This window comes from Homo sapiens, chromosome X (assembly GCF_000001405.40).
Source record: "Homo sapiens chromosome X, GRCh38.p14 Primary Assembly".
NCBI lineage: Eukaryota > Metazoa > Chordata > Mammalia > Primates > Hominidae > Homo > Homo sapiens.
In genome coordinates, this window is record NC_000023.11 from 117942863 (window position 1) to 117958632 (window position 15770).

At 35.3% G+C, this 15770-nt stretch overlaps 1 protein-coding gene across 9 annotated transcripts in view; it reads right to left on the reverse strand.

Annotated features, from left to right (window-relative positions):
• KLHL13 (kelch like family member 13) overlaps positions 1–15770 on the reverse strand; it is a 219528-nt gene that overhangs the window by 45050 nt on the left and 158708 nt on the right. For all 9 annotated transcript variants that reach the window (NM_001168301.2, NM_001394866.1, NM_001168303.4 and 6 more), the window contains one exon: positions 2572–2713. In NM_001168301.2, coding sequence (NP_001161773.1) covers positions 2572–2713 — 142 coding nt within the window. The remainder of the gene's footprint in view (positions 1–2571; positions 2714–15770) is intronic.

Genomic DNA, 15770 nt, shown 5'->3' on the forward strand with positions numbered 1-15770 from the left:
TCATTATGATGCTAGCTAGTTATTTTGCCCCTTTATTGATGCAGTTTCTTCATAGTGTCAATGATCTTTACAATTTGGTATGTTTTTGCAGTGGTTGGTACCAGTTTTTTCTTTCCATATTTAGTGCTTCCTTCAGGAGCTCTTATAAGGCAGGCCTGGTAGTGACAAAATCTCTCAGCATTTTCTTCTCTGTAAAGGATTTTATTTATCCTTTGTTTATGAAGCTTAGTTTGGCTGGATATGAAATTCTGGGTTGAAAATTCTTTTGCTTAAGAATGTTGAATATTGGTCCCCACTCTCTTCTGCCTTGTAGGGTTTCTGCAGAGAGATCTGATGTTAGTCTGATGGGCTTCCCTTTGTAGGTAACCCGACCTGTCTCTCCAGCTTCCCTTAACATTTTTTCCTTCATTTCAACCTTGCTGAATCTGACGATTATGTGTTTTGGGGTTGCTCTTCTTGAGGAGTATCTTTGTGGCATTCTCTGTATTTCCTGAATTTGAATGTTGGCCTCTCTTGCTAGGTTGGGGAAGTTCTCCTGGAGAATACCCTGAAGAGTATTTTCCAACTTTGTTCCATTCTCCCCATCACTTTCAGGTACACCAATCTAACTTAGGTTTGGTCTTTTCATATAGTCCCATATTTCTTGGAGGCTTTGTTCGTTTCTTTTCATTCTTTTTTCTTTGATCTTGTCTTCTTGCTTTATTTCATTAAGTTGATCTTCAATCTCTGATATCCTTTCTTCTGCTTGATTGATTTGGCTATTGATACTTTTGTATGCTTCATGAAGTCCTCATGCTGTGTTTTTCAGCTCCATCAGGTCATTTATGTTCTTCTCTAAACTGGTTATTCTAGTTAGCAATTCCTATAATTTTTTTCAAGGTTCTTAGCTTCCTTGCATTGGGTTAGAACATGCTCCTTTAGCTCGGAGGAGTTTGCTGTTACCTACCTTCTAAAGCCTACTTCTGTCAGTTTGTCAAACTCATTCTCTGTCCACTTTTGTTCCTTTGCTGGCGAGGAGTTGTGATCCTTTGGAGGAGAAGAGGTGTTCTGGTGTTTGGAATTTTCAGCCTTTTTGTATTAGTTTTTCCTCATCTTTGTGGATTTATCTACCTTTGGTCTTTAATGTTGGTGACCTTCAGATGCGGTTTCTGTGTGGATGCCATTTTTGTTGTTCTTGATGCTATTCCTTTCTTGTTTGTTAGTCTTCCTTCTAACAGGCCCCTCTGCTGCAGATCTGCTAGAGGTGCTAGAGGTCCACTCCAGACCCTGTTTGCCCGGGTATCACCAGTGGGGGCTCAGTTGGAAATGCAGAAATCACCCACCTTCTGCGTTGATCTTGCCGGGAGCTGCAGACCAGAGCTGTTCTATTCGGCCATCTTCCCTTTTCCCTACACAGCTTTAAGATGCCAGGAGATGGAAAGATTCTCGTTCCTGACTCACATATCTATTGATGACCCACAGGACAATGAACCTTAGATAGACCCCAGCTCCAATTAGAAACGGAAATACTGGGGAAATGGGATTTTACTGAATTCAAAGATTGAAACTAGCAGGAAATTTAGAGGTATGCTAGTCAAGAGTCACATTTTGGAGATAAGGAAAATGAAATCCGGTGAAATTACATTTAAACACAGAGGATGCACAGCAAGTATAAACCTTGTCCCTCATTATATTATATTCTATATACAGCTTTACTATAATGGTTCTTGATCAGGGATATGCATGAAATCCATCTGGGGAGATTTCTTTTAAATATGCATTTAGAAAGGCAAATTTTCCTTATCTTATTAAGGGTAGTAAGAGGACCAATATAATTTAACTATCTTTAGAAGACATTAATGGACATCCAGTACCATATTGCTCTCTAATTCAGCAATGCCCACAGAAGTCAGAAAATGTCCACAAAGGTCAGAAGTACTTAAGCTTCTAATCCCCGTGCTAAATAGCTCCAGATTGCTGTGTTTCATGTTCTTTTGGCTTTCTACTGTGTTTCTGTCCCCTGCTTTTATTTTAGTTATTACTTATTACATGTATCAGAGGGTTTGCATCCAGCAGTCCTAACCTCTTCTCCCACAGTTACTACTACCAATGCGAGTTGGGACACCAAATAAATATAATCTTTAGAACCATTACAAAGATGATAGTAAAACAGGCTGTGAATGAGGAACTAGGAAAATTCAGTGTAGGGACCTTGTAATACTTACTTTGATTGCTATGGAATGAAATCAGATATGGTATTCTGTAAGAAAGTGGCATACTGGCAAAATGTCCTTTATACAAACCAAACAAAAAATTGATTCTGAGGATTTTTTAACCTCAGGAATGTGTGCATTCCTCCATCAAGATTTCTCTCCTGGTTAGTTTTTGTCTTTTGTTTCTTTACTTAATAAACTTCATTTTTTAGAGCCATTTTGGGTTCACAGCAAAACTGAGCAAAAAATAGTTACCATACATTTCCTATTCACACATACACACCCACAACCTCCTCCACTACTGACATCCTGCATCACAAAATCCATGGTGGGTTTTTTAAAGCTACGTAAACACTACCAAAGAGACAGCTTAAATTACCTGTAACACCACAGAACTGTGGGTATTGCTGGTAAAGATGCGTGTAGGTCCTGCCTTGGAAGACTGCAAATGGGATGAGAGGCCCATTTCGCTGCCTCCAAGGGACAATTTCATGTGTTGGTCTTCCTCTTCCACGAGAGATCTGAAAGTTTTTTTACATAAGAAAGAAGGGGAAATTAAAACTTGTACAATTTACAATGAGATTATTTAGAAAAATAATCAGTCACTATTGCAATCATATGACCATGCAATATGGTGAATATTGTTTCACTATATTATACGCTTGTACCACTCTTTATCTTAGAAGAAATGTATATTTGTAAAATGGTTTCCAAGTACAGAATATACAGATGATAACTGAGAAATCAACTTAAAAGGTGGTTCAAAATTATAGTCACAGAGTTTTTAAAGGCCACAGTAATTACTGTTGATATGTTACTATTTAGATAGCAATGCCATCAAATTATGCTGCATATAGTTAAAATTAATTTGGAACACCTAATTTTGAAAAGATAAAAATGATAGCTACCATTTATTGAATAGTCATTATATAGCAGGTACTTGCCAATAATTTTATACACAGACTAAAGAAGGGTCAGAAACCACTTATTAAAGTGGTTGGCCCAGGGTTTGAATCTAGGTCTAGTCTGATTCCCACTCCAAACCCCCATTAATAAAAGTAAAAGATTAATTGTTATATATTAATGCATTACTTTATCTTCTGTTATTAGTAGTAGTTCTAATCAACCCCAACTGAACAAAATTTTTCACATGATATAATTTCTTTTTCTAGCAGTATCTCTCACTTACCAGTTTGGGATTGTTTAATAGCTACAATCTAGTCACATTTCCATCTTTTCAAAGAAATGAATACTAAAAATATAAATACAGGCAATTCTGTATTTGCATGTATTGCAGCAATAGTATTTTCAAGGGGCATAAGTAAGAATAGGAGAACCTTAGTCAGTAGGTCACTTAGATGCAAAGAGAATATGACAATACATTTGATAGTTTAAAAATCTCAGGTTATACTAAAAATGTGCCATTATTAATAACCTTTCATCATTCCTTAGAAGAGATCTTGTGTTTCTCCATAGGTATACATTGCTAAAATAATCTCTGGATCACCTGCCTAAGAGTGGGGAGCCCATGGCTCATGAATTTGGTTCTGCATTCATGATACAGACTGCTAAAAAGACTGCTAAAATAGACATTAGGAAAAAAGAAGGAGAGCAGATTTTCAAGTGCTGGAACTCTTCATTTTTTCTGTAATTTCCTCAATTTTGAATTATTTGCTTTTCTAACTGTCTAACTGAGCTATCCAATATCAGAAAGGTTTCACCTTTTTTTCCTGTCATACCTAAAACCCCAAGTTGATCAGTTTTAACAAGAAAAAGACCATACTAAAGATTCTGCTTTTTGAATTATGACACCAACTAAGTGGTTTTAAATCTTGCAATAATTAGCAAAAATTCTGGCCTTAAGGATGACATCAATTCTTCTTAATGATATTAGAGCCATAGTATAACCAAAAATGAATTAATAATATATAACCATGTTTAATTCAATTCTGATAGATATTTAATAAAGAAGAGAATAACTTAAGATTTTAAAAAGCATAAAAGAAACTGGATATAGCCTTCCACCAGAGTTTCAGAGATAGCTTTAAAGAGAATTAAGTTATATTTATGATATATAGCACACACACACAATTTTAAACAACTTTTGTGGACAGACGTTTAAAATTACAGAATCAATTGGAAAAGTCAGAAATTGATTGATGGTGACTGTTATCCCTAACCAGAAAATGTCTATTCATCCAGATTATATTAATAGGATATTCAAGCAGACTGTTTTATTAGTTTCTGTATTCCCTGCACAGAGCCTAGCACGAAAGACTTAATATATGTCCTCTGAATGAATACAGAATCTTCTTTCTGTAGATCATTCCAAAGACATTTCTTTATTATGCAGTGCTTAAATGACCATCAATTATCATTCTTATGAAACTGCAGATGTAAAAGGGATAGGAGTAAAGCTGAATTCACATTGCCACAATGACATATCCCGGAAATTGCTTTTTTGAGTAAACTACAAGTAACAACTTATTTACTTTGTCATTTGTCTCTTGCTCTTAAAAACAGAAAGCAAAAAGTGAAAATGCAGCCCTTTCTTGCCAACATAATATGCTTGCCTTTTTAATTAATTACTTCAAAAGCTGAAGAAGCCTGGACTAAAATTATCTTTTTCATGATGTTTTATCAGTATCTTTTGACTTTTTAACATTCAAAACACTCCCTACTAATTTCTGCTTTGGTAACAGTACATGCCATGTTAACCTTCTTAGCAGATTCAATATTCCCATCTATCTCCCCTTTATTAAGTTTATTGATTGAATGTGAAGAGCACTGTTCTTCAACATTGCAAGGAGGTAACACTTCTCTGCAAACCCCAAGCCACAATTATATCAATCTATGCTTAAAGGAATGATTATCTGAGTAATTCCAAGAAAAAAAATAACAGTTTTTAATCTGATGTTTTTTCAACTCATATAGTTAAATACAATATACATACAAGTCATTCTCAATGTGGGGAGGGGGAGCAGGAGGCATTTTGCCCCTCCTTCCACCCCCATGATTCATAATGTCTGCAGACATTTTTCACTGTCACAACTGGGGATGCTGCTAAACATCCTACAAAACAGGACAGTTCTCTAGGTCAAAGCTGTTCTTAGGCAAAAAAGTCAAGTGCCAAAGGTGAGAAATCCTAATATAGAGGAATTTACTGTCTCATGAAAATTTTTCTCAAGCAATTTCATGATTTAAATAATTTCCCAGTCATAGGGTTGAATCCATGAGGTAATGCTAGCAATATGAAACACAGCAGGATTATTAATTATCACTAATTCTTCCAAGGCTACCTAACAGAATATCTCTGCTCTCCACAGGCCCATCAATTTGAAAACTCAAGTCTAAGAGTAAAAAAGTAGATAATGGCTTTGAAGTTTATAAGAAAATTATGCAGCAAAGCTTTTGTTTTACATAAGCTCATGTAAGAATAATAATTTCCTAAATCTGCATAAAACAGTTGTTATTTGGATCCACTTTTACATGTTAAGTTAGAATCTGGCAAATTCTGTCTAAATAGTCCCATTTCACCAGCCCTACAAGATTATTCATGGGAGAGACTATATTAACGAATTTTGTTTCTAAAAATTAAACCTCTCTTTTCCCTACAATATTATAGTCTGCATATTGCTTGCATGCCACCCCCCGCCTACCCAATCACCACAGCAGACGTCTTATTCTTGAAACAATGACCAACCATAAAGCACAAGAGCAATCTTTCACAAAGTGTACGTGAATCACTCAACTGTGCTTGCTCAAAGAAAACAACTACTTTTTTGATGAGTATTAGCTTAGAGATGGAGGCACTGTCTGACCATTTTACTGAAAGCATTGTAAACGTGGTCAAACCAAACATACACAGACTGTGGCATTTCTCTGCACTGCATTTAAAGACAAAAGGAAAAAAAGCCTAAGCCATTGTCATATGTTAACAAAGGGCTGCCAACATTGTAATCTTGCCTCGAAATGTCCACATATTTAAAATTACCCGAACGGAAACATGTAAGTGATATGAGCACACAATTCACAAAGATCAAGGTGCCAATGGTTAGCAGATACAAAAATGTTCAACCTCATCAGTATTCCAGAATATGCACAAAGATTCTATCTTTAAACCTGCAAAATTATCAGAGTACAAGATATACTCTCAAAATTGCTAGTGCAAACATGTCATAAACTCCTACTACTGTCTGCATAGAATTGTTCATCCAAATGGATTTTTTCAAAGGAAATTTAAAACTCACTAAATGGACAAATGTGGTTTTTTTTTAATAGCAAGCAACATGACAATGAAGAATTGTGTCCTGGTATCTATGTCCTGGTAGGTGGGCCAAAGCAAGAGTGCTCTGCTGATCTGACTTAAATGTGTTTTCTTCAGTGAATCCCTCTGTAGAGGTTTAATTTGGTAGACGTTCTATAGAGAACCATATACTCTTAGAATTCATTATAGTAAATATGTTTGTTGGAATGCTATATGAGGAAGGAAAAAGCATCTCTTAATTGCATCATTTGACTCAAAAGCCACAAATAATCTTCCAATGCTCCTCAATCTCCATACCTAAATAAATCCCACGACAATCCACTGAAACCAGTACCATTGTGTTTAAAAAATAAGATATCATCTTGATCAATTATAAAATGTGTACTTCAATTTCTTGGTTTCTATCATTGCAAATAGCAGTTCATGTTATACAGAAACCCAGGTGTGGTCAAATTTCATTGTCAAGGAAAAGGGAACATTTTGGTGCTTCTTGAGATTATCATCATGAAAACACAATAAAAGCACTTAACTTTTCTTGGTAGAGAGGTTATGTGTGCCAATTCATGCACTGGTACATTAATGTCTAGCTCACATCAAATAAAAAGCAACATCTTGATACTGCTATGAATAAAAGACTGTTCTCTACACTTTCCTGTACTGTTTGTAATTTCTGAAGGGAAAAAAGAAGAAATGAATTAGAGAAAAGCTAGAAAGGTAAAAGTATATGAACAACACTTTTCTATTTAGTTCCCTCATTTGTTTCATAGTGCTTTAACTGCCATCATTTCATTACCAAAAAAGGTTAAATCTAACAATATATGCTAAAAACTCAATTTCACTGCAACAAAAGAATGAAAGTCCCAGGCTGGGCGTGGTGGCTCACGCCTGTAATCCCAGCACTTTGGGAGGCCAAAGCAGGCGGATCACCTGAGATCAGGAGTTCGAGACCAGCCCAGCCAACATGGTAAAACCCCGTCTCCACTAAAAACACAAAAATCAGCCGCGCGCAGTGGCAGGTGCCTGTAATCCTAGCTACTTAGGAGGCTGAGGCAGGGGAATCACTTGAACCTGGGGGGCGGAGGGTGCAGTGAGCCGAGACTGTGCCACTTCACTCCAGCCTGGGTGAAAGAGTGAAACTCCATCTCAAAAAAAGGAAAAGAAAAAAAAGAAAGTCTCTTGCATTAGTGTCAAAAGTATAATATAGATATTTCAAGTTCCCCAGATTAATAATATTACCTTAACTAAAGTTGGTGTCAGTGGGTTGGTATACAGGAACAACAACAATAACAAAACAAAATGAAAACAAAAACAAGAAAGCTATGAATGGTTTAACAACACAACAAAACAGGTTGGTTAATCAAGGCACTGACTATCCACTACCCAACCCCCAGGAAAATAAAATACATATTGCTCACACTCACAATTTAAAAAGAAAATCAAGAAAAAGTCTTTCCTCAAAGTACTTTCCATCCATTTGTTTTTCTGCTCTGAAACAGAGAAGTGTCTGCTAGCAGCAGCATTTGCTAAATGAAACATTTCTTGTGATAAAGTTGCATGGCAGGTGGAGAAGAAATTTCACCACCTGTTCTCATACTCATTTGAATTTCAGGGCTAAATCTGTCAAGGTATTTCCTTCCACCCTTGAGAAATAAATTAAAAACTTAAGATGGTAGAAGCCATTTTCCATTGGCTTTTTAAGATAGAGTCAAAGTATTCATACTGCATTGAATTCGAAAGATATTAATAGCTTTTCTACTCCTCTCTTTCTCCACACTTCCCAAACAAAAGCTGAATGATACCACAAACGTTTGAGTGTACACATACTCAACTTTCATTATGAAACAAAGGAACATGTTTTGAAAAAATCGGGAACAAAATTTCCAACTCATGAAGTAAACTAATGTATATAAAATAAGCCTGGCATTTTTGTTGAAAAAAATTAAAAACTTAAAATTTCAAATATTGAAAGATTTGTCCCCCAACTAAAATGTCATTTATAGTATCATTACACAAAGAAATTATAAATATCATAGCAACTTCTCTCTCTTTTTTCTTTTTCAAATACCAACAAGAGTGAGCTTGAAAGTAACATCTATTAATAAGGCATAAATTAATTGTTGTTTAAAGAATATATCTTCTTAATGAGGTGTTTGCCTGAAAGGAATCAAGAAAGATAAAGCTTTTGTTAGTTATTTGTAGTTTTTTTAATGACATAAATATATTATTGTCTACCTGAAATCATTTCACTAATGGAACTCTTTAGTTACAGATGAGATTTTATAAAATAGCTGCTATCTTTCCAAGGCTATAAGAAGCTATTGCACAGGCTATAAAAAGCTATTGCACAGGCTTCTTATATGCATATGTCTGTCACATTTAAAATAGAACAGTATTAATAAATAGCTTCTGTCTGTTTTAACATAGGAATAAGATCATTTACCCAGCACCTGCTGTGTACTAAGCACTGTGCCAGGCACATTCTAGTATCCTATTTAATCCTTGTAATAACTCATTTAACTTACAAAGGACATGAAGGACCTCTTCAAGGACAACTACAAACCACTGCTCAAGGAAATAAAAGAGGATACAAACAAATGGAAGAACATTCCATGTTCATGGGTAGGAAGAAACAATATCATGAAGATGGCCATACTACCTAAGGTAATTTATAGATTCAATGCCATCCCCATCAAGCTACCAATGACTTTCTTCACAGAATTGGAAAAAACTACTTTAAAGTTCATATGGAACCAAAAAAGAGCCCGCATCGCCAAGTCAATCCTAAGCCAAAAGAACAAAGCTGGAGGCATCACGCTACCTGATTTCAAACTGTACTACAAGACTACAGTAATCAAAACAGCATGGTACTGGTACCAAAACAGAGATATAGATCAATGGAACAGAACAGAGCCCTCAGAAATAATGCCGCATATCTACAACTATCTGATCTTTGACAAACTGGAGGAAAACAAGCAATGGGGAAAGGATTCCCTATTTAATAAATGGTGCTGGGAAAACTGGCTAGCCATATGGAGAAAGCTGAAACTGGATCCCTTCCTTACACCTTATACAAAAATTAATTCAAGATGGATTAAAGACTTAAATGTTAGACCTAAAACCATAAAAACCCTAGAAGAAAACCTAGGCATTACCATTCAGGACATAGGCATGGGCAAGGACTTCATGTCTAAAACACCAAAAGCAATGGCAACAAAAGACAAAATTGACAAATGGGATCTAATTAAACTAAAGAGCTTCTGCACAGCAAAAGAAACTACCATCAGAATGAACAGGCAACCTACAAAATGGGAGAAAATTTTTGCAACCTACTCATCTGACAAAGGGCTAATATCCAGAATCTACAATGAACTCCAACAAATTTACAAGAAAAAAACAAACAACCCCATCAAAAAGTGGGCAAAGGACATGAACAGACACTTCTCAAAAGAAGACATTTATGCAGCCAAAAGACACATGAAAAAATGCTCATCATCACTGGCCATCAGAGAAATGCAAATCAAAACCACAATGAGATACCATCTCACACCAGTTAGAATGGCAATCATTAAAAAGTCAGGAAACAACAGGTGCTGGAGAGGATGTGGAGAAATAGAAACACTTTTACACTGTTGGTGGGACTGTAAACTAGTTCAACCATTGTGGAAGTCAGTGTGGGGATTCTTCAGGGATCTAGAACTAGAAATACCATTTGACCCAGCCATCCCATTACTGAGTATATACCCAAAGGACTATAAATCATGCTGCTATAAAGACACATGCACACGTATGTTTATTGCGGCACTATTCACAATAGCAAAGACTTGGAACCAACCCAAATGTCCAACAATGATAGACTGGATTAAGAAAATGTGGCACATATACATCATGGAATACTATGCAGCCATAAAAAATGATGAGTTCATGTCCTTTGTAGGGACATGGATGAAATTGGAAATCATCATTCTCAGTAAACTATCGCAAGGAAAAAAACCAAACACCGCATGTTCTCACTCATAGATGGGAATTGAACAATGAGAAAACATGGACACAAGAAGGGGAACATCACACTCTGGGGACTGTTGTGGGGTGGGGGAAGGGGGAAGGATAGCATTAGGAGATACACCTAATGCTAAATGACGAGTTAATGGGTGCAGTGCACCAGCATGGCACATGTATACATATGTAACTAACCTGCACATTGTGCACATGTACCCTAAAACTTAAAGTATAATAGTAATAAAATAAAATAAAAAAATAAAATAAAATAAAGACAGGGAACTGAAGCTCGGAGAGTTTAAGGCCTCACCATGAGTCTAGTAACTATGATTTGAACCCACATCTGAATCCAGAGCCTACATTGTTCCCATTTATACCAAGCCTAAAAAATTAAAAATAGCAGACAGTAGAGGCTATAAGTCACTTAGCATTTCAATGCTTAATTTATAAGCACAAGGAGGATATCAGAGAGATACATTCTGTTATAGGCAAGTAATTTTCTGGTTTAATTAATTCAATCTGAAGATCACTTACTTTTACCATTCTATTTCCATAAAAACAATACCAACACTAAAAATCTTTCATGCTATTCTCCCAACACTTATGGGGTAGGGAGGTAGTAAATCCTAGAAAATAACTCAGATGAAATTTGGGGAGAATTTCACATACTGATATCAACATTTAAAAGAACACATTCTGAACTCTAATGCCAACCATCACAATAACAGATATAACACTATGACGTAGATAAGGGAATTGGGCTAGACAAATGATATTCCATTAGATAACTATAACAGGATGAAAGTTAATTACCCAAATCAAAAGGCATTTCCACTGAATATCTCAATCTTGTCCTTAAAGAACTTCAAAATAATATTTGCTCCCTCTGCTTACCATATTTCAAGACTTTAGTGTCCCTTCATCTTTTAAAATTTATATACCAGTTAAACTGCATCATGTCCAATTCATCTTGACCAAAAATGTTTTCTATTTAGAAAGCTTAGTTTATATATTATTTCTCATTCTCCACATTTCTTATATTTGTGTGAAAGCAAGATAAGCAGATGGGTAGATTGGTAGATAGGTAGACGGATGGATGGATGGATGGATGGATAAAGGGATACATGGATGGATGAATGGTAGGTAGATAAGGTATGTAAGAATCCATTCTATTTTCTGAATGAGATAATTATTTTATTTCTAATGAAGTAATTTAAAAATAATTAGAAGATGAATGCATTTCTAAATGTTGATTCCATACCTTCTATACAAACAAGTGAATTCAAATCTTCCTTGCTTTTATAAAACCACATAGGTGAAAGAATGCACATGTGATAATGGTGGTAGGGAGATGGCAATATGTAGAAGTGGGCTAGGAGAAACAGCATGTGCTCCCATCACTGTCAAGAGTCCCCTTCCCAGTGCACAGAGGAAATAGTTACAATCCTCTGGTGAAGCATAGGCCCTCTAGAAGGATGCTTCGCCCTACAGCTAGCACCCAGCCTGCCCTTTGAGAAGTCTCTATATCTGCAGCAGTGAGCTTGCCTTCTCTTTCTTTAATCCAAAAATGAAGAAACTGGAATGGGTATTCCAACCCCTTCAATGCTCAGGCCAATTTTCTAGGAGCTTTGCTTCCAGAGGACTTGTTAACCAAGGTGTCATTTTACTCCCATTATCTGTAGCTCATCAACTTTAAAATTTGACTCTTTTGCTAAGGTGCATTAAAATCAAAAAGCACGTTAAGAAAGAACTGTGTTTCACCTTCCTAAGATTTTTATTAAATATTCAAACATCTGAGTTACCCAATTTTAGAGTTTATTATTAAAGCAGATTCCACAAACTCAAAACCAATTAGAAATAACTGAGATAAATCGATTTGGGAACAGGAGATTCATTAATCAACTGCTAAAAGGTGGTGAAAATCCTATCCTTTCCTGAATTTCCCAGTTCTATTCAACTTCACAAAGTCAGTAATTCATGACCAGGTCTTAAGAGAATGTTTATTTATCTTTTAAGGGGAAACATGAAAAAACCTAAGAGTAAGACTCACAAAGTAGTAACCATTGCATTCCATGTTTTAAGAAATATAGTTGGCAGCCCTAAGAGTCCCAATGACTCTATGTATTCAAAGCCCGTAATAAATTTACCAAATCTCAGTCTTGATTTTTGTAATGGCCTGGAGTCATCTCTAATTATTTCAATGAATGTAGGAAAAAATTAGTATCAAATCAGTCATACGTTTTCAATATGACAGCCAGTATTTTTAAGACAGGGGAGAATAATACAAAAAAAGAAGACAGGCTCTCAACCTAATGAGTCTGAGAATCACTCTTAGGATAGTTCTTTCAAGCTCATCACAGATACGTGGCTCAATGGAAGCAAAGACTCTAAGTATCATTTTTTAACATTAAAGTTATTGTCCCTTTTCTGCATATCTGCCTCACCATTAAGGGTTTTTTTCCACAAAACTTTATTATAAGACTTCAGTTTATCCCTTTTGTACTATGCTTCCCATAAAGAAACATATCCATTGCTGGCCATAAGCTCTCAGGTTGTTAGGAGATGCAAAAAGTCTTCACTGTTACTTACAGCCCACTCACCTATCTACATATTCACAGTTACCATACTCCAAGAGTATATATGTGGTCTTTAGCTCTAGAACTGGTTCCTGGTTTTTCACCTAAAATGTTTTAGGGTCCACCATTTTACTACACTCCTAGAAAGCCAGTTTAATTAAGATCACCATAATATTCCAGTCCATATCACAGAGCAATTTCAGTATCTAGCCACAGACAACTCTGCTAATGTGAATAACAAAAATTGCTCTACCAAAACTACCATAAGTGTTTATCCATGGTGCAGTAATTCTAAAGAAGGATTCATTTGGGCAAAATATTTATGTGTCACAACTATACATCATTACCTAAAATATTAAAAATTATTTACAAAATTTATAATGTTTTTCTGGAAGGCAGACTGATGATTTGGGGAGGGGCTATTCCAAATTATAAATCATCAAGGAATTTGTCTCTTTAGGGGTAAGATGTTTATTTGTAGAAACACCATGTTCTCTGGCTAAAAGAAGGCTATGTGTTCTTGGGTAGAACATACCATTGTGATAAAAATGACATAGTAGGCATCAAGCATTCAAATCTCCTGGTCATTTAAATGGGAATTTTAAATTGAAGATAACTGGAGCGTTTTCAGATTGTGTGTACATGTGTTTTGCAGAAGCAATCTATGAATTATGAAGTAGTAATGAAGTACTTACCTTAATCTGTGTGAGATAAATGAAAAAAGAGAAGTATTCCTTTCCTTCCTTTTATACAGTCCTTTAAACCAGTGTTTCACACCCCAAACTATAATTTCTGACTCTCAGTGTAGATGAGAAGCAGACAAAAGGGGAGAAGAGTCACCATGTAGATGAGAGTAGCAGGGAGTCAAGGTGTTAAAAGTTTCCCTAGCTAGTCGGAAAATGCTACTACCCTCACTCACTCCATCTCCATGAGATACTTGTTGAAGCAATCATCATTTTTACATCTTCAAAATCCAATCTTTTCATATGTCAAAGATATGCTTAATGGTAATGAATTTGACTACATACATATTTCTTAATGACCATTCCTAAAATGTTGGTCAGTCAGAAGAAATTTCAGAAATCTCCGATGTATCCTGATATTATACATTCAAAAGAACTATAGATAAAATATTTGGATTCTAAAAGGCAATTGCTCTCACCAAAATTATTTGACCACCTTTGACCCTTGCTTCTTCCCCATTTCCCATGTCCAATCAACTGCTAAGTTCAACTGAATCTCTCTCTAGAATGCTCCTATCCTTCAACCCCCATCCACTCTCACTGCCTCTACCACAGTTCTTGTCTGTATTACCTCTTACCTGGATTTAATTATAATTTTCACATACATAATGGTCTTTATACATACTGTGATTGTATTTATAGCTCAGAAAAGCACTCCCTTGCTCAAAGGTATTCAGTGAGTCACTGCTTGCCGAACAGAAGCCAAATCCTACACTCTTGAAGTCAAGGCTTCCTGGCCTCACCCTCCTTAACTAATTGCACAGTCCAGCAAATTATTCACAATAAATGTTTGTTTAATGACAACAGAACAAACGAAAATCCAAATTTACTTACAAACTACAAATTGTTTTGCTTTGGAATATATTGCTTTTACATATTCACAGCTATGCATTTTTTGTCTCTTGCTAAACAAGTAATGTGTAAAAGCCATTGTATTTAATCATTTTTAACACAAAGAAAATTCATTTAATTTAAATATAATATCAGCTAAACCTTTATGGTTAGATTGAAGCCCTTTAAGTATAAAAAATTCAGGACATAAATGTAAATACTTTTTTGAGTGTTAATTTTTAATTTATTTCTCCTAAACCCTAGTCAGGTCTTCTTTTTCTCCTAGTCAGTGATTTCTTTTATCAAACTATACACACAAAACACATTATCATTTAAGTAAAAGCATATTAGCTTCAAAACATAAATATCTCAAATAGTTTTCTCCATTATGATGAACAGCATGCAAAAATAAGTCAAATAACTCTTAACTTTGAGAGTAGTTTCTATCGTAGAACAGATTTTTAAAAAAACCTTATTTTCCTTATCAGTTACAATTTGATGAACCATGACTAAAGTATTTTGGTCACTAGTAGATTGCTTCTAGTAAAATTACTTTCAGTCTGTGCCAGTATCATGGTATTTCTCAGCAACAATGAACAGAATCTGGATTTTTGATTAGTTCTTTTCATAGGAAATACAGTCATAACTTATTCTCTAACAAGACCATGATACACAATAGCCCCCATTATTCGGTGGATACATTCCAAGACCCCCAGTGGATGTTTGAAACTATGGATATACCAAATTCCATATACACTACGTTTTATTCCTATACATACATAACTACCTGATTTATAAATTAGGTACAGTAAGATATCAACAATAACTAGTAATAAATAGAACAATTATAACAATATACTTTAATAAAAGTTATGTGAATGTGCTCTTTTTCTCTCTCTCTTTCTCAAAATATCTTATCATACTGTACTCACCTATTTTCATGCCATGGTTAACCATGGGTAACTCATTCCAAGGAGTTGGAAATCATGCATAAGGGACAACTACTATATTCAATTACTGCATATATCAGATGAATAAACTTAACACTTTCATGTGAAGTGATCTGCACAGAGGTACAGACCTAAAAACTATTCTCTAAATTCATTTATAAAATCGACATTTATTGAGCATCTGCTATGTGCCAGGCACCACACTAGATGATAGG